Source organism: Homo sapiens, chromosome 11, assembly GCF_000001405.40.
Source record: "Homo sapiens chromosome 11, GRCh38.p14 Primary Assembly".
NCBI classification, from domain to species: Eukaryota; Metazoa; Chordata; class Mammalia; order Primates; family Hominidae; genus Homo; species Homo sapiens.
This window is the reverse complement of record NC_000011.10, coordinates 27,141,973-27,167,809: the sequence shown is the minus strand read 5'-3', so window position 1 is coordinate 27,167,809 and position 25,837 is coordinate 27,141,973. Positions and strand designations below refer to the sequence as shown.

General features: G+C 40.2%; 1 long non-coding RNA gene across 3 annotated transcripts in view; it reads left to right on the top strand.

Annotated features, from left to right (window-relative positions):
• The window catches only part of BBOX1-AS1 (BBOX1 antisense RNA 1), a 172,928-nt gene that overhangs the window by 52,304 nt on the left and 94,787 nt on the right, over window positions 1-25,837 (top strand). For all 3 annotated transcript variants that reach the window (NR_125768.1, NR_125767.1, NR_125766.1), the window contains exon 3: window positions 16,658-16,760. This is a non-coding gene — a long non-coding RNA (BBOX1 antisense RNA 1). The remainder of the gene's footprint in view (window positions 1-16,657; window positions 16,761-25,837) is intronic.

The window sequence follows — 25,837 nt, the reverse complement described above, 5'->3', positions numbered from 1 at the left end:
GGAACTCTGTGACAAGCAGAAACAGTTTGGTTCTTGTTCTACTGCCATACTTAGTCACTGGGGAGAAGCAAACTGGGGACAGTGTGGTCCTAGCATGAATGCTGTAGCAGATCCCCAAAATGCGGCAGCTGGAAGCTCTTGGCTAACTATCCTCCTCTGGCAAGTTTTTTTTTTTTTTCCTCTCTCTCTTTTTTTTTTTTTTTTTTTTTTTTTTGAGACAGGGTCTTACTCTGTCACCCAGGCTGGAGTGCAGTGGCGTGATCACAGCTCACTGCAGCTTTGACCTCCCAGGCTCAGGTGATCTTCCTGCCTCAGCTTCCCGAGTAGCTGGGACTACAGGTGCACACCACCATACCCAGCTAATTTTTGTATTTTTGATAGAGATGAGGTTTCACTATGTTGCTCAGGCTGGTCTCTAAGTCCTGGGATCAAGTGATTCACCACCTCCCAAAGTGCTGGGATTACAGGCATGAGCCACTGCACCAGGCCCGTTTTTCTTCTTTAAGGGAGATCTTAGCAGGAATCCAATCCTTCATGGCTGCCACACTCTGTGAAGTAGGCAAAGCAAGAACTATGAACTCTACTTTAAGAAGTTTCAGATAGTTAAAAATAATCAGTGTGATAATGGCAGATTCTTAGAGTTCAGAGTTGTCTTACGAGGTAGGTTTTTACAAGTATTTTTGTAAATCCAATTGTGATGGTTAGATAGTCTTCAAAGATGGTCACCATCTATTACTTCCTTTCTGCATCCAAAAATGGAATCTATGGCTTCTCCCCTTGAATCTGGGCTGGCCCTATACCTTGCTTTGACCAACAGAAGGCAGCTGAAGTGTTTGATGGCTACAGGCTTTAAGAGGAAAGACAGCTTCCTCTCTTCCCTCTTAGAAGCCAGCCATCATGTGAATAGTCTGACCAGAACTTCATCCAATTATGAAAAAACGTCCGACATAACCAAACTTAGAGATATTCTATAAAGTAATTGACTAGTACTTGTCTGTGTGTCGAGACCATGAAAGACAAAGTTGATGAACTGCAATAAATTGGAGGAGAATAAGGAGAAATAACAACTAAGTACAAATGTGGGATGCTGAATAGGATCTTGGGATAGAAAAAGATCACTAGTAGATCAACTGGTGCAATTTAGTACAACCTATAGTTTAGTTAGTAGTAAATGTACCATGTTAATTTCTTAGCTGTCATGATGTTTTAAGGAGTCTAAGGTGTTAACATCAGGGAAACCTGGGTGATGAGTATACAGGAATTCTACTTTTTTTATAATTCTTATGTTGGTCTAAAATTAGTTCACAATAAAAAGTTAAAAAAAATGGAAGTGTCTGATCACCCTGACGTCTCTGTGTTGAAAGAAAGCCAAAATTAGCCTTAAAGAGAGAAGAGAGAAAGGCCACATGGAGGAGCAGTGAGGTGCCACACATGTGAGTATAACCCTTCTGGATCAGCCAGCCTGATTTGGCTGTCTGGATATAGTCAGTGAGTGACTCCAATCTATGCCACGTGGGGCAGAAGAGCTTCTCAGCTGAGCTTTCCCTGAATTCCTGACCCAGAATCATGAGGAATTGTGCCATGGTTGTCTTAAGCCACCAAGTTTCAGGGTGATTGTAATGCAGCAGTAGGTTCCTGGAACATCTATAGAAGAGGCAGCAGCTCAGATAATCCTGCAGAGTTTCTCCTGGGTTGGAGAGAAACAGGGGAGTCCTGTTAGAAAACAGGACTGATCCCATGATTGAGAAGTCGGTAGCTTTTTCTGCGATGTTATTGGAAGGGTCATCAGGTATTTGCTTACCAAACAACATTTTCACTTATCTATCTCAAACCTGAAATTCCATCCTTTAGGTAATCTATTAATTTAAGGCAAGCACCATAGAGGGTATCTAGTGTAATAGTAACATTGGGAGATCCACCACAAAAGAAAAATCTTTGTTTAATGTTTGAGAAAGAATTGGACAGTTCACTTCTTAAAGATTATCTATAAACTTTAGCAGATGAAAGACTTGAGAAATCCTGCAGTGAAAAAAAAATCTAAAGAACTTTATTTACCTAGCATTTATTCCCCAAATTTATTACCATGGAATCTTTTTTACGTTTTTTTTTTATTTTTGAGACACGTCTTATTCTGTTTCCCAGGAGGGAGTGCAGTGGTGCAATCTCAGCTCTCTGCAGCCTTGACCTCCCAGCCTCAGGCGATCCTCCCACCTCAGCCTCCTAAATAGTTGGGATCACAGGTGCGCACCACCATGCCGGGCTGATTTTTATTTTTTGTAGAGCTGAGGTCTCCCTATGCTGCCCAGGCTGGTCTCGAACTCCTGGGCTCAAGTGATTCTCCCACCTTGGCCTCCCAAAGTGCTGGGATTACAGGAGTGAGCCACTGTGCCCGGCCACCACAGAATCTTAAGTGTGTGTATACAAACATGTTTCCATGGAAGATACTTTAGAAAATGCCATATGAAAGCATCTTGAGCTACAAGGGGCTTCAAGTAACAAAAGTGAATCCTCTTAGGAGAGCTAAAAGTGAAGCTGAATATCAAGATTAATAAGAAGGTCTCCCACATTAGAAGATAGTTTGGACTTGCTAGCCTCTATATATTCTTTACCACTTAAAAAGTCTGTCAGTCAATAGAAGGGTATATTAGCCAAGATTCTTAGTGGTGAATAACAGAATCCACTCTAGAACAGGGGTTTATGACAGTACATTACTTAGTTTATTTAATTTATTTATTTTTAATTTTATTATTATTATTTATTTGAGATGGAGTCTCACCCCATCACCCAGGCTGGAGTGCAGTGATGCAATCTTGGCTCACTGCAGCCTCTGCCTCCCGGGTTTAAGCAATTCTTGTGCCTCAGCCTCCCGAGTACCTGGGATTACAGGTGTGTGCCACATCACCTGGCTAATTTTTGTATTTTTAGTAGAGACAGGTTTCACCATGTTGGCCAGACTGGTCTCAAATTCTTGGCCTCAAGTGATCCACCCTCCTTGGCCTCCCAAAGTGCTGGGATTACAGAAGTGAGCCACAGCGCCAGCAGTTTATTCAGTTTAAATGAGGGCCAGGGAACCTGTTTTAATACCACAATATAGAACAACACAGGAAGGAGAAACCCTCAACTGCATTATGAAATCCCACCACCAATGATGTCCACCTGTTATTACCTGTGATGCCGGGACCTTAATCATAGCTACGCAGAAGAAGCCCAGAAGATCTCACAGACTATAAGTCACATGAGTATCCAGCAGCAAAGGCCTGTGGGAAAAGTAGTTTCCCGCCTTTTCTGGGAGCGATTGTATAGGAACACACATTAGAAGGGCTTTTTAATATTTGTTGGGTAATCTAATTTGCAGCATTGGCCACAGAGTACTACATTTACCCATTCTTCATTTGACACATGCAAACATGAGATTGGTTTCATACCATGATTGTCATTCCCCACCACCCCCTCTTCTATGTAGGCCTTAAAAGTAATTGTTATTTTATTTATTTATTTATTTTGAGACAGGGTCTTGCTCTGTCACCAGGCTGGAGTACAGTGGTGCAATCTCGGCTCACTGCAACCTCTGCCTCCCGGGCTCAAGCGATTCTCTTGCCTCAGCCGCCTGAGTAGCTGGGACTACAGGCACACACCACCATACTCTGCTAATTTTTGTATTTTTAGTAGAGACAGGGTTTCACCATGTTGGGCAGGATGGTCTCGATCTCTTGACCTCGTGATCCACCCGCCTCGGCCTCCCAAAGTGCTGGGATTACAGGCGTGAACCACTGTGCCTGACCAAAAGTAATTATTAAAACACTAAACATAGCAATAATAAAATCCTGAACTGTGACAATAATAACCATCACCATAAAACCCAGTACTAAAATAATACATGCAATATATTATAAATATTAAGCCAAGGGTTATAATAAAATTCAAAACTATGGTAATAAAAATTAATGCTAATAAAATTCATTACTAAAGTGAAATTCATTATTGTAATGGCAATACAACTTAATACTCTAATTAGACTGAATAACATAGTATGAACCTTAGTATTTGAATTTAGTTTCTTTCCTCTTCATGGTTAAGAACTTAGGTTCTGGAATCAGAGTTCCTGGCTCTATCCTGACTTTCTAAGGGACATTAGATTAGTTAGGTAAGCAATTTAGTTCTCAGTTTCACATTGTAGACTGGAGATAATAGTTGTGTCTTCCTCATAGCGCTGCTGCAAGAATTAAATAAGAAAATACTTATTAAGAAAAGTATCTTGCATATTGTAAGTATCTGTCTTAGTCCATTTTGGGCTACCATCACAGAATACCTGACACTGGATAATTTGTAAAGAACAGAAATTTATCTCTTATAGTTCTGGAGGTTGGGAAGTCCAAGATCAAGGCACCAGTAGGTTCATTCTCAGGTTCTAAGATGGTGCCTTGTTGCTGCATCCTCTGGAGAAGAGGAACCTTGTGTCCTCACATGGCAGAAGAACAGAAGAGAGAGGATCCACTTCTGCAACGTTTTTATAGTGGCATTAATCCATTAATGAGAGAGAAGCTCTCATGACCTAAACATCTTCCAAAAAGCCTCACCTCTCAACAGTATTGCATTGAAGATTCAGTTTCCAACACATGAATTTTGGGGGACTCACTTAGATTATAGCATCACTCAATAAATGTTAGCTTATGGCTGGCATTCTCTGCTTCTGTGAGACAGGAAGCCTGCCTCTGTAATCCAGCCTTCTGTGACACCCTAGTATACCCCTATTGAGTCATTTCCCACTGTCATACCTACCTGTACTAAGAGGGATATGCCATTCATTTCTATTTTTAGATTTATCCCTACTTAACAAACATGGAGTTTGGGACCTGCATTCTGTCAGCATCATGAGGACCTTTCTGGATCTCCATCTGTAGGGCCTAGCCTTTCTTTGAGCTTAGGGGTCTGCCTATCCCTTTAACTATCCAAGACATGGGCTTTGGAGCCAGTCAAGTTGGACACAAATACTATCTTCATCATTGATTAGCTGATCTTAGGCAAATTATTTTACCTCTCTAAACCTTGGGTTCACATGTAAAATGGAGTTCATGACACTTTTCTCAAACTGTTGCTATGAAAAGCAATGAAGTGATGCTAGATGGCGTCTGGCGCAGTTCTTAGCACGTAGCAGGTGTTTGCAAAGAATATTCCACTCCCTCCCTTGTCCCCTCCCCTGTCTGCTCTCTGCTCTGTTTTTACAATGCCATTATCCTTTTTTCTAATAATGTTCCTGTGGTGGAAGAGGGTGGAGGCTGAACATTGAGTTTGTTCTGACCTCAAAAAACCCCTAGATGTTGTGATTTTTGTTCTAGGTCAAGGAAAATAAATCAGCTTGTTCCCGTGTGTGTGTGTTTTTTTCCCCTAGAAGTGAGACTCAGCTAAAGTTCTGGGAACAGAGAGTTCAGGTTAGCTGTGTTCTGCTTGAGAGGTTTTTCTGTGTCTCTCCATTGAGCAGGTTAGTCCTGGGTGTCTTGCTTGGGCAGATACTTTACTTTTTATTCAATAGGTTAATAGCTACATTTTCTTCAGGGCCTTGAAAGAGTTTGTATAGCTTCTGAGACTCTACATTGAATCAGTATGATCATATAATCTTAATATAATTATTAGCACAGTGTTGGAATTTAGTATTTTGGTTATAGGGCAGAGAGCTCAAGAGGTCACATTGTGGTGTCAGGTAGACCTAGGTTTAAATTATAGGCTGTGTACATTGAGAAAATTATACCAGAGCTTCTTGGTGTGCCTTGAAACAATTCACTAGTATAGTCAACTGTTGGATGGCTAGATAGGGCCTGAGGTGGCCAGTGCCCCCACAGATGGTTTCTTATGCCTGCCAGGACCTACAAAGTGCTGTACAAATGTTATTCTTTTCGATTTGTGCCTTGACATGACAAGCCTTGTGTTTCTCATCTGTAAAATGATTATAACAATAGTATTTACCTTAAAATAATTAATATATCCAAAGTGTTTAGAATAGGACCTACCACATAGTAATATATGTAAGTAATTATTGTTATCAGCTATAATTGTTTTCCAAATATTATCTATAAAAGGGAGATGGATAAATATTTATTTATACTTTGGATAATAACCTAATACTACATTATTTTGTTCTTCAAATTATTTTAGCTTTGGCCATCAGGTGCTTTTCCAGGTTGACTCGTGTATACTTTTATCATCCTTTTGCTTTTTGAATACCTCCTTACTTTCTAGCATTGAAAGATGCTCCAGGCTCACTTTGTATTTTCTGTGCCCCAGCTCTGGAATCAGCCATTTCTCCAAGGATCCCTGGTTCCTTTTATTGAAAAATAGTATTAGACATCAAGATCTGGGTACTAGGTGAGCCACTAGATTTTGATCCAAATACTTTTGTATTATGTTGGTGTCTGTGAAATGACACATTGAGATGAGCTGGTCAGGGAGGCACTGCAGGGCAGGGTATAGAATAGTTATATCAAGCCAGAGTCACGGAATGAGAGTGTTTACTGGAACTTGAGTATACCCAGAAGGGAATGTTGCTGAGGAGAGTCTGTGGAAGAAATCAGTCTGTGGAAGAAATCAAGGATGTTTTTATAGGCAGTGTGAGTCACAATGATTCTGCAGTGGTGATTACATTCTAATGATCCCTGACTTCTTTAGAATTGTTTCGATGCTTTCTTTTCATTCCAATTATCTATTGCTGTGTAACAAATTACTCCAGAACTTACTGGCTTAATACAACAATTGTTTTATCATCTCTCTTGGTTTCTGTGGGTTAGTGATTTGGGGAAAGGCTCTGCTGGATGGTTCTGGAGTCTTTAATGAAGTTTCAGTGAGCTGGTGGCTACAGCTGTAACAGTAGAGATATGGAGCAGCTGGGGACAGCTAGATCTCTCACTTATATCTCTTCTTCAGATAGTCTCAGGGCTTCTCCATGTCGTCTCCTCATGTAAACTAGCTTGCTTCCTCACAGCATGGCAGCCTCAGAGCAGTTGGAGTGCTCACATGGGAACCAAAGACCCCAGTGCAGGTGTTCCATGGGACCCTCACCCTTTCTGACCTCACTTTAGAATTTACTTTCACTGCAATCTATTTGTTACAAGTGAGTTACAGACTGCTCAGATTCAAGGGGAGGGGATACAGACCCATCTCTCGATGGGCAGAATGCCAAAGTTGCATTTTAACAAGAGTCTCTGGGATGAGAGTCATTGTTCTGAGCATCTTTGGGGGAAAAAATCCTCCACACATTCACATATGCTCCCAAGATTTCTAGCATTTGAAAATATGGCATACATTCATAAAAGCTGAAAGGTGCTGCCCTAAATTGGAAGGGTCTTTATCTGGTGTCTTTCTGTACATTTCTTCCTTTATTTCTCACTGTCATGACTTCTTAGAATTTCTTTCTTACCCACTATCACTCATCTACTTTCCCATGTCATGTTTTCTGATTCTGTCTTGAGGGACATAAAGATTTTCTTTAAGTGGGCTGTTTGCTCTTAGTGTGGCTGAAAGACGACATGTCTAATAAAACACATAAACGGAGAGAGATGACACAAATGAGTAACGGAAAACAGAAGGAAAAATGAACAACGATGGGGAAAACAGAGTCAGTGGCACTGAAAAATATGTGAGAGCACACACAGAAGGGACTGAAAAATGTTTAAGAGTGAAAATAAGGAAATATTAAACAAAAGAAAAAACTGCACCAGTGCTAAGAATTGTCACAGGCCTATTTTCTACAAAATAGTAAAACTGGGAATCAGGGATGTCCTTAAATCATAAAAATTGTGTAAAAAATTAAATGTAAGTGAGAGAAGAGGGTCCATATTGCTTATCAGACCTGCCAAGGGGTATGTGGCTAAAGCAGCTTTAAGATCCAGTGATAAGGTCAGGTGCGCTGGCTCACGCCTGTAATCCCAGCACTTTGGGAGGCCGAGGGGGGTGGTCACCTGAGGTCAGGAGTTTGAGACCAGCCTGGCCAACATGGTGAAATCCCGTCTCTACTAAAAGTACAGAAAATTAGCCGGGTGTGGTGGCATGTGCCTGTAATCCCAGCTATTCAGGAGGCTGAGGCAGGAGAATCACTTGAACTGAGGAGGCGAAGGTTGCAATGAGGCGAGATCATGCCATTGCACTCCAGCCTGGGAAATAAGAGTGAAACTTCGTTTCCAAAAAAAAAAAAAAAAACAAATCCAGTGATAAAATGTCAGAAGCTCACATGGAGAAGGACTTGTTCAAAGTTACAGATAGGAGCAGGAGAGCTCTGAAAATCTGACGTCACTGATTCAGTGACTATGTATGTCCCAGCTGAGATTCAGCTTGTTTTGGCCCCATTCTGCTTCCTGGTGAGACATGCTGTTCCTCCCTTGCAAGTTTGTTCATCTGCTTTTATCTCACTGTCCAGTTAACATTCATCCATTCTCCTGTTGTTCTTACTAATACTTATGATATGTCCACACCTTTACCAATTGCTATTGTCTATTCTACAGCTGAGCTCTTTCTTAGCACACTCTACACACACACAGAGACACAGACACACATAGACACACACAGTTTTGTTTCTTTGGTTGTTAGAAATCACAGTTTTCTTCTATGTGCAAAGAGATACACTGGGTATGAAAACTCCATGAATGGAGAGGGCATGACAAAATCTAGACGTTAAGAATGCTGCACTTCTTAGCAAGCAATGAAAGGACAGAATTCATGAGTTCAGGAGGGAAATTTTCCTCTGCCATGCTACATGAGGGAGCTCTAATTTTCTATTTTCATAAAGTTTGTGAAAAGAAGTAGTGTGTATTTAATAAAGGCTGCGGGTTAATTTCCAGGGCAAACCACTAGATGGAGGCCCTGCCTAAAGAACACACTTGAAGAATGAGTCACTCCGATCTGCAAGTTTCCTCTTCCAAACGTGAATTGGAAGGCCGGGAGCAGTGGCTCAGGCCTGTAATCCCAGCACTTTGGGAAGTCATAGGTGGGCAGATCATGAGGTCAGGAGATCGAAACCATCCTGGCTAACATGGTGAAACCCTATCTCTACTAAAACAAAACAAAACAAAAAACAGCAACAACAAAAAACCCAACCAAACAAAAAAACGTGAATTGGGGGCACCAGCTGAAATCCTAATTTATCCAAAAGGCTCTGTAATCTTGTCTTGTTGTAGAACACGCCTCCTTTCTAACCGCTTTGTCAATTCTCCACTTTCTTACTCATGAATTGCCCCAAAATTGGGTCATGCAATGCCCCATGGTTCCGTACACTTATACAACTAACTATAGGAATGTTTTTTACTCTTTAAAGACTTTTCCCTTCTGAATGCCAGAATGCCAACTTTGTCTTTATTCTCCATTTCATGAGCTTTAAGTGCTACCTGACCTGTGAAGAGTTTGTTGTTTCTTGAAAGGAAACCTTGACAACACAGGTAATCTCCCCAGTATGGGATTTAGAGTCTACATAGTAAATAAACAGAGACAAATCTGAAGGTAGCTAACCTCTTTTTCTGGGGGTGGAGTTAAGTTTTTCTGACTGATACAGATTACTCCATAGCTAAGGCACTTGGGACAGGCCTTATTTTTTATTGTGAGTATTATTAGAAGCAAGTGTACGTTTACTCTGCCAATAAAACTCCATTGGTTTAAACGTATTATAGCTGCATCTCATAAGCTATACACTCACAAATATTTAACATTTTCATCAAATAAATCTTCACACTTGAGATATACAAGTCAATCAACAATTCACAGAGCTTACTTTCTTTTATTTTGTGTATAAGAAAGCAAGAATGGAGATGGGCCTAGCTTCCCAACCTACATCTTTCTCTCGTGCTGGATGCTTCCAGGAATACTTGAACATCAGACTCCAAGTTCTTCAGTTTTAAGATTCGGACTGGCTCTTCTTGCTCCTCCAGCTTGCAGACAGCCTATTGTTGGAACTTGTGATCATGGCTTGGGAGCCAAGATGGCCGAATAGGAACAGCTCCAGTCTACAGCTCCCAGCATGAGCAATGCAGAAGACGGGTGATTTCTGCATTTCCAACTGAGCTTTGAAGAGAGTAGTGGTTCCCCCAGCACGCAGCTTGAGAGATGGGCAGACTGCCTCCTCAAGTGGGTCCCTGACCCCCGAGTAGCCTAACTGGGAGGCACCCCCCAGTAGGGGTGGAATGACACCTCATACGGCCGGGTACTCCTCTGAGACAAAACTTCCAGAGGAATGATCAGGCAGCAGCATTTGCGGTTCACCAATATCCGCTGTTCTGCAGCTACCGCTGCTGATACCCAGGAAAACAGGGTCTGAAGTGGACCTCCAGTAAACTCCAACAGACCTGCAGCTGAGGGTCCTGACTGTTAGAAGGAAAACTAACAAACAGAAAGGACATCCACACCAAAACCCCATCTGTACGTCACCATCATCAAAGACCAAAGGTAGATCAAACCACAAAGATGGGGAAAAAACAGAGCAGAAAAACCAGAAACTCTAAAAATCAGAGGGCCTCTCCTCCTCCAAAGGAACGCATCTCCTCACCAGCAATGGAACAAAGCTGGATTGAGAATGACTTTGATGAGTTGAAAGAGGAAGGCTTCAGAAGATCAAACTACTCCGAGCTAAAGGAGGAAGTTCGAACCAATGGCAAAGAAGTTAAAAACTTTGAAAAAAAATTAGATGAATGGATAACTAGAATAACCAATGCAGAGAAGTCCTTAAAGGACCTGATGGAGCTGAAAACCATGGCACAAGAACTATGTGACGAATGCACAAGCCTCAGTAACCAATGCGATCAACTGGAAGAAAGGGTATCAGCGATGGAAGACGAAATGAATGAAATGAAGTGTGAAGAGAAGTTTAGAGAAAAAAGAATAAAAAGAAATGAACAAAGCCTCCAAGAAATATGGCACTATGTGAAGAGACCAAATCTACGTCTGATTGGTGTACCTGAAAGTGACGGGGAGAATGGAACCAAGTTGGAAAACACTCTGCAGGATATTATCCAGGAGAACTTCCCCAATCTAGCAAGGCAGGCCAACATTCAAATTCAGGAAATACAGAGAATGCCACAAAGATACTCCTCAAGAAGAGCAACTCCAAGACACATAATTGTCAGATTCACCAAAGTTGAAATGAAGGAAAAAATGTTAAGGGTAGCCAGAGAGAAAGGTCAGGTTACCCACAAAGGGAAGCCCATCAGACTAACAGCTGATTTCTTGGCAGAAACTCTACAAGCCAGAAGAGAGTGGGGCCCAATATTCAACATTCTTAAAGAAAAGAATTTTCAACCCAGAATTTCATATCCAGCCAAACTAAGCTTCATAAGTGAAGGAGAAATAAAATACTTTACAGACAAGCAAATGCTGAGAGATTTTGTCACCACCAGGCCTGCCCTAAAAGAGCTCCTGAAGGAAGCGCTAAACATGGAAAGGAACAACCGGTACCAGCCACTGCAAAAACATGCACAATTGTAAAGACCATCGATGTTAGGAAGAAACTGCATCAACTAACAAGCAAAATAACCAGCTAACATCATAATGACAGGATCAAATTCACACATAACAATACTAACCTTAAATGTAAATGGGCTAAATGCTCCAATTAAAAGACACAGACTGACAAATTGGATAAAGAGTCAAGATCCATCAGCATGCTGTATTCAGGAGACCCATCTCATGTGCAGAGACACAAATAGGCTCAAAATAAAGGGATGGAGGAAGATCTACCAGCAAATGGAAAACAAAAAAAGGTAGGGGTTGCAATCCTAGTCTCTGATAAAACAGACTTTAAAACAACAAAGATCAAAAGAGACAAGGCCATTACATAATGGTAAAGGGATCAATTCAACAAGAAGAGCTTGGGCGATGGAGTGAGAGACTCAATCTCTAAATATTAGTAAGTAAATAAAATAAAATAAAAATAGTTAAACAACTATTTTACTTTTTAAATTGATCTGTTTTCTAGGTCAATATAGTGAAGTTTTTATTACCTTGTAATAAAAGCACAATTTGTTGGTCAGCAAATATATTTAACAATATTAAGAAATATTAAGAAGTAGGTCTTAATAAGACCCACTTCTCCCAAGAAGCCTTCCTTATTAGGCTTAGAAGAGCTCTTTACTGACTTTGAGCTCCCTGGGCCACACATGGGGGAAGTACTTAAGCTTTTATCTTATACTCCCCTTTATTCTAACCCCTACTAACATCTTAGCTTACCACAGGGAGATTTAAGCCCCTGGTGCTCAGAGAGACTCCGAATTGTACTTGCTATAGGTCCCCGATCCACAGACTACTAATAATACTTACTAATGTCTAGAAATTACCAAGAGAACAAATTGGTGGTTTTCTGAAGAAGAAAACATTCTACTTCTCTTGCTTGGGTTATGGGCTATTCCTGCAGATTATCTCTTTATGCTTTCCAGTTATGTAATTTAAATAATCAGAAAAGATATAATAAAAATTAATTAGTTAGAAAAATTTAAAAATGCTAAAGCAACTAAAATTAGTATAAAAACAGGATAAAACAAGTAAAATGGAATCTTGATAAAGCCCTAAGAAGAATGGAGGTAAGAAAGCAGTATAAATAATCATAAGGAGGCAAAATAAACTAAGAACAATGAAAATAGAGTAAAAGGCCAGGCGTGGTGGCTCACACCTGTAATCCCAGCACTTTGGGAGGCTGAGGTGGGAAGATTGCTTGAGCCCAGGAGTTCGAGACCAGCCTGGGCAATGAGGCAAAACCCCATCTCTGCAAAAAATTTAAAAAATTAGCTCTGTGTGGAGGCATGCACGTGTAGTTCCAGCTACTTGGAAGGCTGAGGTGGGAGGATCACTTGATCCCAGGAGGTTGAGAATTCATGCCACTGCACTCCAGCCTGAGTGCCAGAGCAAGACCGTGTCTAAAAAAAAAAAAAAAAAAAAAAAAAATACAGTAGAAAAGTTAACACAAAAAGAATAAAAGAGTCAAAGAATAAATCTAGCTAAAATGATACAAAAGTGGGTACAGGTTTAGGTTTATAAAAATCAAATCAGTTAAAGAGAATGTGTACTGAGCAATATTAGGAATTCTATGTTTTAGCCCATCACATGAAAACAATTTTGGCCTAACTGGCTAAACCAGGCCTTGCAGAACTCTATGGAAAGAACTCTAGGGCAGAGGACCCTCAGTGCTCTGAGGTAAAAAATGGAAAGCAGCTTAAACCCATTAAGAAAAACTGTTTTTTAGGCCTATTTAGGTCACAGGTCATGGTGCAGTAGATGATTCCTTAGAATAATTATCTAGTCCAATCTTCTTCCTATAGATCTGTGAAATAAGGCCTACATTGATGAAAAAGGTGCAATTTCAGTGATGGGAGTAGAGAGAGGTGGAGCCACAGGAAAGTGTTCTTGGCAGCACATGCTGATTGGGAGACCTACACATTTAAAGTTTTATCAGCACCTTCTTGAGTAATCCTTTTTTTTTTTTTTTGTACTCAAAGTTTGGAATTGACACAGGTGTGTTTGATGTGTCCTAGGTGGGCATTTACCTCCCTGGGAACTTACTCCCTAGGCTGTCTGGGTATATCCAGTTGCTCAACGGAGAAGTACCTGAGAACAGTGATTTCTCACAAAGACACATGCAGCTCTGCTGGCCTGGGGTGAATTAAGGTTGAGGCATAGGTGGAAAGTGGGGGAGGGTAGTCTTGTAGAGCCTTGCCTGGATTTGATGGGGCAGCTGGAGAAGGCCCATGAAGGGGGAAAAAGGAACAGAGTGGGCAACAATCCTGGCTGCCCCAGCTTCACTCAGCCTCCCAGGTGGTGCCTGGGGATCTCTGCAAGGCTGCCTCTGGGAAGAGAGCTGCAAACACAAAGCTTGTGCAGGTAGGTCAAGGCATCTACCGTAAGACTCAAAAGGCTTGCAGGCCTCTTCAATTGTGACAGTTTTGGGGCAAGGGACTGTGTTAGTTTTCTATTAGCTGCAGTAACCACTTATCGCAGATTTATTATCCTGTAGTTCTGGAGGTCAAATATCTGAAATGCGTCTTACAAGGGCTAAAATCAAGATATCAGCCGGGTGCATTCCTTCTGGAGATTCTAGGGGAGAATATATTTCTTGCCTTTTTTAGCTTCTAGAGACCACTTACATTCCTTGGCTCATGACTTCCTTCTCCACCTTCAAGTCCAGCCATACAGCATCTTCAAATCTCCCCCCTGACCCCATCCCCTCTTACCTTTGCTTCTCTTTGACTCTCCTGTATCACTCTAATAAGGACCTTTGTGATTATATTGGGCCTGTTTGGATTATACGGGATACTGTCCCCATGTGAAAATCCTTAACTTTATTGTAGCTGCAAAGTCCTTTCGGCCATGTAAGACAACACATTCACAGATTCAGGGGATAAGGATGTGGATATCCTTGAGGGACATTACTCAGCTTACCACAAGAGCTGTTCATTCCCTGTTACTTCAGCAGATTTGTCCTTGTAGGAGAGCCCACACTGAAGAAGTTCTTCAGCTCCTGGTAGGAGCTGGAGGCAGGCACTGGCTTGTGGTTTCATTAAAAATAATGAGTGATTGAGCCAGCTGCTTTAGGACTAGCTTGTAACTCCACTTCCTCTTGGAAGTTTCAGCAGCTTAAGCCCCTAACTGCTTAGGCAGGAAAGAGCTGAGGGTTGGCCAAAAATGTTACAGTACTAGACATGAGCAAATTCATTGAGCAAATTTATACTCAGTACTTGGTGGGTAGTGAATATTGTGCAGGACAGTAGAGACTCATTGGTGAATAAGATTGGTTGCTTTCAGATATTAATTTTATTTATGTGCTATCTCCCCTTTTGTAGTAGAATCTAAGCTACATTAGAGAACATATTTTGTCTTAATCACTACTAAGTCCTGATGGCTGCTTTTCACGGATTTTGATGGTAAATTCTCAGTAAATTTTTGCTGGTTTAGTAAAAGATATGATCTCTGACCTCAGTGAGCTTATAATTTAATACATTGGACTAGAAGTTGGCTAATTACGGCCCTTGGGCCAAATCTGCCCCACTGCTTGTTTTTGCAAATAAAGTTTTATTGGAACTCTGATGTGCCCATTCATTTACATATTGTCTTTGGCTGTTTTGTCGTATAATGGTAGAGTTGAGTGGCTGTGCCAGACTGTATTGGTCACAATTTGGGGTTAAATATTTACTGTCTGGCCCTTTACAGAAAAAGTTTACTATCACCTGGGCTGACAATGGTAGCCAAAAATGGCAACAAAAAATGGTAGCTACATTGAGCATAATAAGATCCACGATAGGATGCCTTAGGAGCTCATGAGACAGACAACACTTTCATTATTCTTGGAGCTTCCCATGCTCCTAAGTTCACACATTTAGAGAGACCCTTTAGCGCATCAATCATCTGACCACAGTGGTTGTCATGGAGAGCCCATTGTTCCAGCCTTCATATCCTTTTGGTTCCTGCAGGTTTGTGGCTTTGTAGTCACCTATGAGACTCTTTGTTGAAGTGGGAACTCTAGTGTCTAGGATCTAGATTCTCTGGGTGGACCATTCCGCCTTTTATTCTGAGGCTTCTCTACCTTTCTACTGCACTGTTCGAGGTGTAGCGTTTAGATTCCTACTGTGCATACATTTTTCTATTTCACCCCCAATGCCCTACAATTGTTTCCTATGACCTCATCAGTTCTGTCTCCTCATCTTCCAGGTGATCTAATGTAATCTAAGTACTGTCTACTCTTCAAAAGATGTAGACATTTATAAAAGACCCCAGTTTCTAATTTTCTCCCATCAGAATCTCTAGGGCAAAGAACTGCAAGTCTTGGTTACCAGTTTGGAAGCAGCATTAGATGGTAAAGGAGATAACAAACAAAAATGGTATTTTAGGAAATTATCTCTCCTGCTTTGCATTGAATTATATCCTGAAGGCAACACATTTTAAATAAGAGAGTGGTTTTAAGGAAGAGAGTGGCAAGATCAACTCCCAGGATAACATTTAATATTTAGCAGGTGGTATGTATTTTAACCACACAGACTTAAACAATTGTGTGGCAATATGGGTACTTACTGGCTATGGATCAGTAGGATTTGCATTTTGGAAGTTGATCTGGCTGTCAAGGGCAGAATGGATGGGAGGCATTCCCATAAGATTAGAGGGAGGCTAGGGAGGAGGGTATTATACTAGTCTAGGGAAGAGATAGTAGGATCTCTACTTGGAAAATGACTGTGGGAATGGAGTAGGGTACGCAGAATCTAGTACCATTGTATATATGAAACCAAAGGGATTTGGTGAGTGGATATCTAGAGTGGGGAACTGGAAGAAGTGTGGATTGCTCATAGGTTACTGACTTCAGCAATGGGATGGATAGTGGAACTCTTAGGAGACAGGATGAAGAAGTAAGTGTCGAGTATGTTAGGAAGATGTAAAATTAACTTTGGTTGGGGGATTGGACCTTCTGCTTTACCTCTGGAATCTTCCCTTTCATTGCTTAGTGATATGGTTTGGATATGTGTCCCCACTCAAATCTCATGTTCAATTGTAATCCCCAATGTTGGAGGTGGGGCCTGGTGGGAAGTGATTTGATTATGGGGGCAGATTTCTTCCTTGGTACTGTCGTTTTAATAGTGAGTGAGTTCTTGTGAGATATGGTTGTTTAAAAGTGTGTAACAACTCCTTTTTCTTTCTCTTCCTCCTGCTCCAGCCATGTGAAGTGCTCACTCCCCCTTTGCCTTCTGCCATGATTGTGTGTTTCCTGAGGCCTCCCCAGAAGCTGAGAAGATGCTTCCTGTACAGCCTGCAGAACTGTGAGCCAACTAAACCTCTTCTCTTTATAAATTACCCAGTCTCTGATATTTCTTTATAGCAGTGTAACAATTGACTAATACAGAAAATTGGTGCTAAGGAGTGGGGCATTTCTATAAAGATACCTGAAAATGTGCAAGCAGCTTTGGAACTCGGTAATAGGCAGAAGCTGAAACAGTTTGGAGGGCTCAGAAGAAGACAGGAAGATGAGGGAAAGTGTGGAACTACCTAGAGACTTGTTGAATGGTTGTGACCAAAATGCTGATAGTGATGTGGACAATGAAGTCCATCTAGGCTGAGGAGATCTCAGATGGAAATGAGGAACTTACTGAGAACTAGAGTAAAGCTCACTTTTGCTGTACTTTAGCAAAGAGCCTGGCTATATTGTGCCCTTGCTCTAGGGATCAGTGGAACTTTGAACTTGAGAGAGATGATTTAGGGTAACTGGTGGAAGAAATTTTTAAGGAGCAAAGGTGTTTAAGATATGGGTTGGCTGCTTCTAGCAACCTTTCCTCATATGTGTAAGCAAAGATATGGTCTGAAACTGGAACTTGTATTTAAAAGGGAGGAAGAGCATAAAAGTTTGAAAAATTTGCAGCCTGGCCATGTGGTAGAAAAGAAGAGCCCATTTTTAGGGGAGGAATTCAAACAGGCTGCAGAAATTTGCATAAGTAAAGAGGAGCCAAATGCTAATAGCCAAGACAACTGGGAAAAAGTCTTGAAGGCATTTCAGAGACCTTCTTCGCAGCCCCTCCCATCACACGCCCAGAGGCCTCTGAGGGAAGAATGGTTTTGTAGGCCAGACCCAAGACTTACTGCAATGCACAGCCTCAGAACCCTGCTTCCTGTGTCCCAGAAGCTCTAGCTTCAGCCATGGCTAAAAGGGGCCCATGTAAACCTTGGGCTGCTGCTCTGGAGGGTGCAAGCTATAAGCCTTGGCTGTTTCCACATGGTGTTAAGCCTGTGGGCACACAGAATGCAAGAATTGAGACTTGGGAGCCTCTACCTAGATTTCAGAGAATGTATGGAAATGCATGGATGTACAGGCAGAAGCCTGAATGAGAGGTAGAACCCTCATGGAGAACCTCTACTAGGGTAGTGCAGAGGGGAAGTGTGGGGTTGAAGCCCGCACGCAGAGTCCCCACTGAGGCACTGCCTAGTGGATCTGTGAGAAGAGGGTCATCGTCCTCCAGCCCCCAGAATGATAAAGCATGGTAGAGCCACCAGCAGCTTGTACCCTCGGTCTGAAAAAGCCATAGCCACTCAACACTAGCCCTTGAGAGCTGCTGCAGGGGCTAAATCCTGCAAAGCCACAGGGCAGGACTGCCCAAGGCCTTGGAAGCCCACCCCTTGCCACAGTGTGCCCGGGATGAGACGTGGAGTCAAAAGAAATTATTTTGGAGCTTTAAGATTTAATGACTGCCCTGCTTGGTTTCAGGCTACATGGGGCCAGGAGCCCTCCTCTTTTTTTTTTTTTTTAATTTTTTGGCTGATCTCTCCCTTTTGGAATGAGAATATTTACCCAATGCCGATACTCGCATTTTACCTTGGGGGGTAATTAACTTGTTTTTGATTTTACAGGCTTAGAAGTGGAAGTGACTTGCTTTGTCTCAGATGAGACTTTGAACTTTGGACTTTTGATTTAATGCTTAAAGAAGTTAAGACTGTGGGGGACTGTTGAGAAGGGATTTTGAAAAGTGAGAAGGACATGAGTTTAGGGAGGGGCCAGGGGCAGAATGATATGGTTTGGATATATGTCCCTGCCCAAATCTCATGTTCAATTGTAATCTCCAGTGTTGGAGGTGGGGCCGGGTGTGAGGTGATTGGATCACGGAGGCAGATTTCTCCGAGGGTACTGTTGTCACAAGAGTGAGTGAGTTCTCATGAGATCTGGTTGTTTAAAAGTGTGTAGCACATCCCCTGTTGCTTTCTTTCTCCTGCTCTGGCCATGTGAAGTGCTTGCTCCCCCTTTGACTTCTGCAATGATTTTAAGTTTCCTGAGGCTTCCTCAGAAGCCAAGCAGGTGCCAGCATCATGCTTTCTGTACAGCCTGTAGAACCATGAGCCAATTAAACCTCTTTTCTTTATAAATTATCCAGTCTCAGGTATTTCTTTATAGCAGTGCAAGAACTGACTAATACACTTAGTAAATGCCTTAGCTATCCCAGGAAAGAGAAGTCCCTTTATACAGAAATGGCCAACAATCCCTGCATCAAGAGAACTGTCCTGTTTTATGCAAACCAAGCTCAGGGATCTTGGAGGGTTGCATATTGTGATGGAGACATAACTGTTTTTCTAAGTCACTTTCTGCTAGCCTGCCAGAATTTCTGTATGTGGAGTCTATTTTATTAAATTTGGAGCCTTCTGGTATAATCTCTTTCTCCTCTATTTTAGGTCCAGATAGTTCTATGTAGCATTTAAGATCACATAAAATCACAATAAAACCTTTCCATTCTGGTTCTATTGAGTTACTTTTTAAAAATTTTTGTCCCTTCAAAATAAATTATATAAACCACATAAAACACAACACATGCTGGTTCCATTTACTGTGATTCTACAGAGAGAGGTTTTCTGACAGGATGATATAGATAAGAAGTACAGGATAAAATTATGAAAAGAGAGCTTGTTCTTCTTCTTCTCCTCTCTTCCTTCCACATTCTGTCATCTTTTTCCTTTTCTTCCTCATCCTTCTCTTCCTTCTTCCCATATTAGTAAGAACTGATTATCATACAGTAGCCTAAACACATTTCTCTGCCTATTACTCCCAAAATAGAAAATACAAGAGAGGTTAAGTAATGCATTTATTTTTAAAAAATGAAATTATGAAAACTGTTCAAAACTTTTCCAATAAAATTTTGATTCTGATTCAGTCCAAATTCTTTTTTAAGTGGTTGGCTCAAACTTAGCTCTTCAGGGAGTAAAATGAAATATTAAAAAGCAAAATTCTTCTGGTAATTTTAACAATACTAGAGCCTGCTGTTTTTGTCTTTCCATTAGATCTAAAGCCAATGTTCTTTTAGTAAATGTGCTCTTAGAGACAGTTTTATTATTATTTTTTAATCAAGAAATTCTATTTTTATAGAAGTTTTAGTTTTAGCAAAATTGAGCAGAAAGCGCAGAGAGTTCCTGTAAATCCCATGTCCCCACACACATGCAATCTACTCCGCTATCCACATCCCGCACCACAATGGTACATTAAATGAACCTGTGTTGCCATATCATCACCTAAAGTTTACATTAGGGTTCTCCCTTGGTATTGTACATTCTATAGGTTTTGACAAATGTCTACTGGCATGTATCTACTACTACAGTATCATATAGTTCCCTAAAAATCCTCTGTGTTCCACCAATTTTTCCCTTCTTCCCTACTAAACCCTGGCTACTACTGATCTTTTTTTTTTCTTTTCTATTTCTATAGTTATCCCTTTTCCAGAATGTCGTATAGTTGGAATTATACAGTAGGTAGCTCTTGAAGGTTGGCTTATTTCACTTAGTAATATGTATTTAAGTTTCTTCCATGTCTTTTCCTGGTTTGATAGGTCATTTCCTTTTAGTGCTGAGTAATATTCCATTGTCTGATGTACCATAGTTTATTTATTCATTCACTTACAAGGGACATCTTGGTTGTTTCCAGGTTTTGGCAATTATGGATAAGGCTGTTATAAATATCCACGTGCAGGTTTTTGTATGGACATAAGTTTTCAGTTCATCAGAGTAAACACCAAGGAGTGCAATTGCTGAATCATACATTAGTTTACTTTTTAAAAATCTAAGAAATACTTAGTGCTCTTCAGTCAACCCTGGTAACAATGAGACAAATTAACTCATCCAAAATAATTTTATGGAATAGATGTTAAATATAATTGTATTTAATATTCAAATTATTTAGTATTTAAATTATATTCAAATACAATTATATCAAATATTTAAATATAATTATAAAGTATTTTCTTTTCTTTCTGATTTTACTTTAAGTTCTGGGATACATGTGCAGAACGTGCAGGTTTGTTACATAGGTATACATGTGCCATGGTGGTTTGCTGCACCTATCAACCCATCATCTAGGTTTTAAGCCCCGCATGCATTAGGTATTTGTCCTAATGCTCTCCCTCCCCTTGCCCCCCATGCCCTGACAGGCCCTGGTGTGTGATGTTCCCCTCCCTGTGTCCATGTGTTCTCATTGTTCAACTCCCACTTATAGGTGAGAACATGTGGTGTTTGGTTTTCTGTTCCTGTATTAGTTTGCTGAGGATGATGGCTTCCAGTTTCATCCATGTCCCTGCAAAGGACATGAGCTCATTCTTTTTATGGCTGCATAGGGTGTATATGTACCACATTTCCTTTATCTGGTCTATCCTTGATGGGCATTTGGGTTGGCTCAATGTCTTTTTTATAAATTTACAAATATGCAATTATGATTAAATGTTTCAGAATCTTTCAACTTCCAAAATACTGGTTTTCTATAATGTCTGGGATATTCTTGAGCAGGAAATTTTGTCCTGAGACAACAGTTATTTGATGACTATGGATCAGAGGTAGGGGAAAAGGAACACACTGACCTGTAAGTGTGTAGCAGTCAGTGTAAAATCATCTTTTGGGAAAGAGGAAGCCTTCCTCAAATGCACTTTAGTCTCATTTGTGGGCATATGTAAGCCATCACATTTTATTTCTTACAAACACTTAAACACTTTTCATTTTTACCACCCTCTCTTGTGCTTGGTTTCTTAGACAACTCATTTCTTCCTACTATTTTTTTACTTTGAAATTTTTTCATCAATTTAATTGAATAATATTTTAGATACAATAAACTGCAGCCATTGGAGGTATATAGTACATAGATGAATTTTGACATCAGGAAAACCACAGTCAAAATCGAGTTACAGAACATTCCCATCACCTCAAAAGCTTCCTTGTGCTCTTTTGCAGTCCAAACATCCCTCTGCCCCAGCCTAGGAAACCCACTGATCTGTTTTTGCCATTGTAGATTATTTTACATTTTCTAGAATTTTTTTATAAATGGAGTCACACACACTGTGTATTCTTTGATTTTTTTTATACTTATGCATGGTGCATGCATCAGAAATTTGTTCCTTTTTATTTGCAGAGTAGTAGTTCGTTGTGTAAATACACCACATTTTATTTATCTAGTCACTGTTTGGTAAGCATTTATATGTATCCAGTTTTTGGACATTGGCTATTGTGAATAATGCTGCTGTAAACATTTGTGGACATGTTTTCATTTCTCTTGGGTACATATATCTAGGAGTTGAATGGCTGGATCACATGGTAAATATAATACAACTTTTGCTTTAAGTATTTGTATATATTTTAAAGACATTAAGAAAGAAAAATTTGCTAGACATGGTAGCTCATTCTTGTAATCCTAGCACTTTGGGAGGCTGAAGTGGGAGAATTGCTTGAGGCCAGAAGTTTAAGACCAGCCTGGGCAACACAGTGAGATCCCATTTCTACAAAAACTAGAAAAAATTCTCCTGGCATGGTGCAATGTGCCTGTAGTCCTAACTACTCACGAGGCTGAGATGGGAGGATTACTTGAGCCTAGGATTTCTAGGTTTCAATGAGCTATGATTGCACCCCCACACTCCAGCCAAGATGACAGAGTGAGACCCTGTCTCAAAAAAAAATGGTTCTTATATGAACCAAGTTTTTACTATTTTGGATGCTTTTTGTTCATTCTTAAAAGATCTGTGTTTAACTCTGTCAAATTCATTTAGTCTGAAGAATTTCCTTTTAGCATGCCTTTTAGTGTGGGTCTTCTGGCAATAAATTCTCTTAGTTTATTTTATATGAAAGTGACTTTTTTAAACCTTTATTTGTAAAGGATATAGAATTCTAGGCTGACAATTTTCTTTCAGCAATTTAAAACAAATCACACTGTTTTCTGGATCTCATAGTTTCTGAAAAGTTCACGGTTATTTGAATCTCTGTTCCCTTCCTGCAATATGCTTATTTCTGGTTGTTTTCATTTTTTTTCTTTTTGTGTTTGGGTTCAGCAGTTTGACTATGATATGCCTAGATGTGGTTTTAGTAATGCTTATCCTGCTTAGTGTTTGCTAAGGTTCTTGAATGTGTGGATCAGTATAGATGTCCTTTACCATATTTAGGGGTTTTCAGCTATGGTTCTTGAATGTGTGAATCAGTATAGATGTCCTTTACCATATTTGGGGGTTTTCAGCTATTCTTTCTTCAAATAATCTTTCTTTCTTTGTTCTCTCTTTTCTTCTTTTGGACAAAAATTACACATATTCTGTAGTTTTGAGATCTCCCCACATGCTCCTGAGGTTCTGCATATTATTTTTCAATCTTTTCTCTCTTTTTCAGATGGAATAATTTTTATTGATTTATTTTCAAGCTTATTGAATATTTCCTCCATTATGTTCATTTGTGTTTTTAAGCCCATTTAGCTAATTTCATTTCAGATTTTGTATATTTTAGTTCTAAAATTCCAATTTACTTTTAATTTTCTATTTCTCTGCCAAGATTCCTACTCTTTTGTTTCATTTAAACATATTTTTCTTCAACTTGTGGGCATAGTTTTAATAGCTTCTTTAAAGTCATTGCCTGATAATCTCCAAATCTGGGTCATTTTGGGTTGACATCTAATGTTTGTCTTTCTTCACGAGAATGGCTCATACTTTCCTAGCATGTTATAATTTGAGTAATTTGGGATTGTCTCCTAAATGTTGTGAATTTATGTGTCAGGATGCTATGTATATTTTAATCATCTGAAGAGTGGTGATGTTTTTGTATTACTAGGCACTTAACTTGATTAAACTCAGATAAGAAAGTGAGTCTGTCTCACTTGCAGTGGAGGTTTAGATCTCAGATTAGTTTAGTTTTAGAGGGGTTGTTTTTTGAGTATATCCAGCACATATGTTTCAGAATTCTGTTTTTTTGTTTTCTTTTGTTTTGAGACGGAGTCTCACTCCGTCACCCAGGCTGGAGTGCAGTGGCGCAATCTTGGCCGCCTCCTGGGTTCAAGCAATTCTCTTGCCTCAGCCTCCTGAGTAGCTGGGATTATAGGAACCCGCCATCATACTTGGCTAATTTTCGTATTTTTGTAGAGACGGGGTTTCACCATGTTGGCCAGACTGGCCTCGAACTTCTGATCTCAGGTGATCCGCCTGCCTCGGCCTCCCAAAGTGCTGGGATTACAGGCATGAGCCACCGCGCCCGGCCTGTATTAGAAATCTTACACATCATTTGGAGCCCCCTTCTTTAGATTTCTACTCTCTAAGACTGCCTCTTCATTTTCTGGTGACTGTGAATCCTCCAGGCTCAATTGTTCAGTCCCTGCCTGGTGGAAGGCTTTCTTTCAGGGAATTAGCCTGCCTACATAATGTGATCATTGCAATTTGTCCTCAGGCCAAAGGAACAAAAATTAAAATCCCATTCCATCCCAATTTCTTTGCCCAAGTTTTGAAGTCTCATCAAAATTTGCCTGTCTCGCTCACTCTGCAGAGACCACAATTAGGGTTTCTTTCTCCCCTGCATTTTCTCTCTCTATTTTTTTTTTTTTGTGTGTGTTTTGATATGGAGTTTCACTCTTATTGCCCAGGCTGGAGTGCAGTGGCGCAATCTCAGCTCACTGCCACCTTCGCCTTCCAGGTTCAAGCGATTCTCCTGCCTCACCCTCCTGAGTAGCTGGGACTACAGGCACGCACCACCACACTGGGCTAATTTTGTATTTTTAGTAGAGACGGGGTTTCTCCATGTTGGTCAGGCTGGTCTCGAGCTCCTGACCTCAGGTCATCCGCCCGCTTCGGCCTCCCAAAGTGCTGGGATTACAGGCGTGAGCCACCGTGCCCTGCCACTTTTCTTTTCTTTTTTTTTTTTTTTCTGAGATGGAGTTTTTGCTCTGTTGCCCAGGCAGGAGTGCAATGGCACAATCGGCTAACTGCAACCTCCACTTCCTGGGTTCAAGTGATTCTCCTGCTTCAGCCTCCTGAGGAACTGGGATTACAGGCTCCCACCACCATGCCCGGCAAATTTTTGTATTTTTAGTAGAGAAGGGTTTCAACATGTTGGCCAGGCTGGTCTTGAACTCCTGACCTCAGGTGATCTGCTCGCCTAGGCCTCCCAAAGTGCTGTGATTACAGGTGTGAGCCACCATGCCCGGACCTGAATGTTTTATACATTCTTTGTTTCTTACTTTCTCCCTTGCTGTCATCCTTTATGATTTGATGAGTTTTTAAATAGTGTTATGCTTCGATCTAATTCTCCTTTTTATTTGAATGTACTACGGGTTTTTTCTCAGTGGTTTCCAGGAGGCTTACATAAAATATTTATAATTATACCAGTATTTTATGCTAATAATATATAACTTCATCTAGATACTGTACACTTAACAAAAACTGCACTTTTACCTCTCCCTCCACATTTATGTTATTGATGTCATAATTTATACTTTTTAATATTGTATATCTATTAACAAATTATTGTAGCTATAGTTATTTTAATATTTTTGTCTTTTAACTTTTATATTAGAGTTAATAGTGATTTAAGCACCAATATTACCATATTAGAGTATTCTGAATTTGACTATACTGTTACCTTTATAGGGACTTTTAGACTTTCATATGTTTTCATGTGGTTAGTTAGCATCCTTTCATGTTAACTTGAAGAACTCTCTTTAGTATTTCTTGTAAGGCAGGTTTACTGGTAATGAACTTCCTCAGCTTTTGTTTGTCTGGGAAAGTCTTTATCTCACCTTTATTTCTGAAGGGCAGCTTTTTTGTGTGTAAATTATTCTTAGTTGACAGTTATTTCATTTTAATGATTAAAGATATCATCCCACTCTTTCTTAGCCTGCAAAGTTTCTTCTGAGACACTTGCTAATAGTCTTATGGAAGTTTCCTTGTGTGAGATGAGTTTTCTTTTTTTTCTTGCTGCTTTCAAAATTCTTTCTTTGCCTTTGATTTTTGACGATTTTATTATTATAATGTGCCTTATGAAGTTCTTTATGAATTGACCTTGTATGGGGACATATGAGTTTCAGGTACCTGGATGTCCATAATTCTGCAAGATTTGGAAAAATGTAATTTACGTTTTTTAAAAT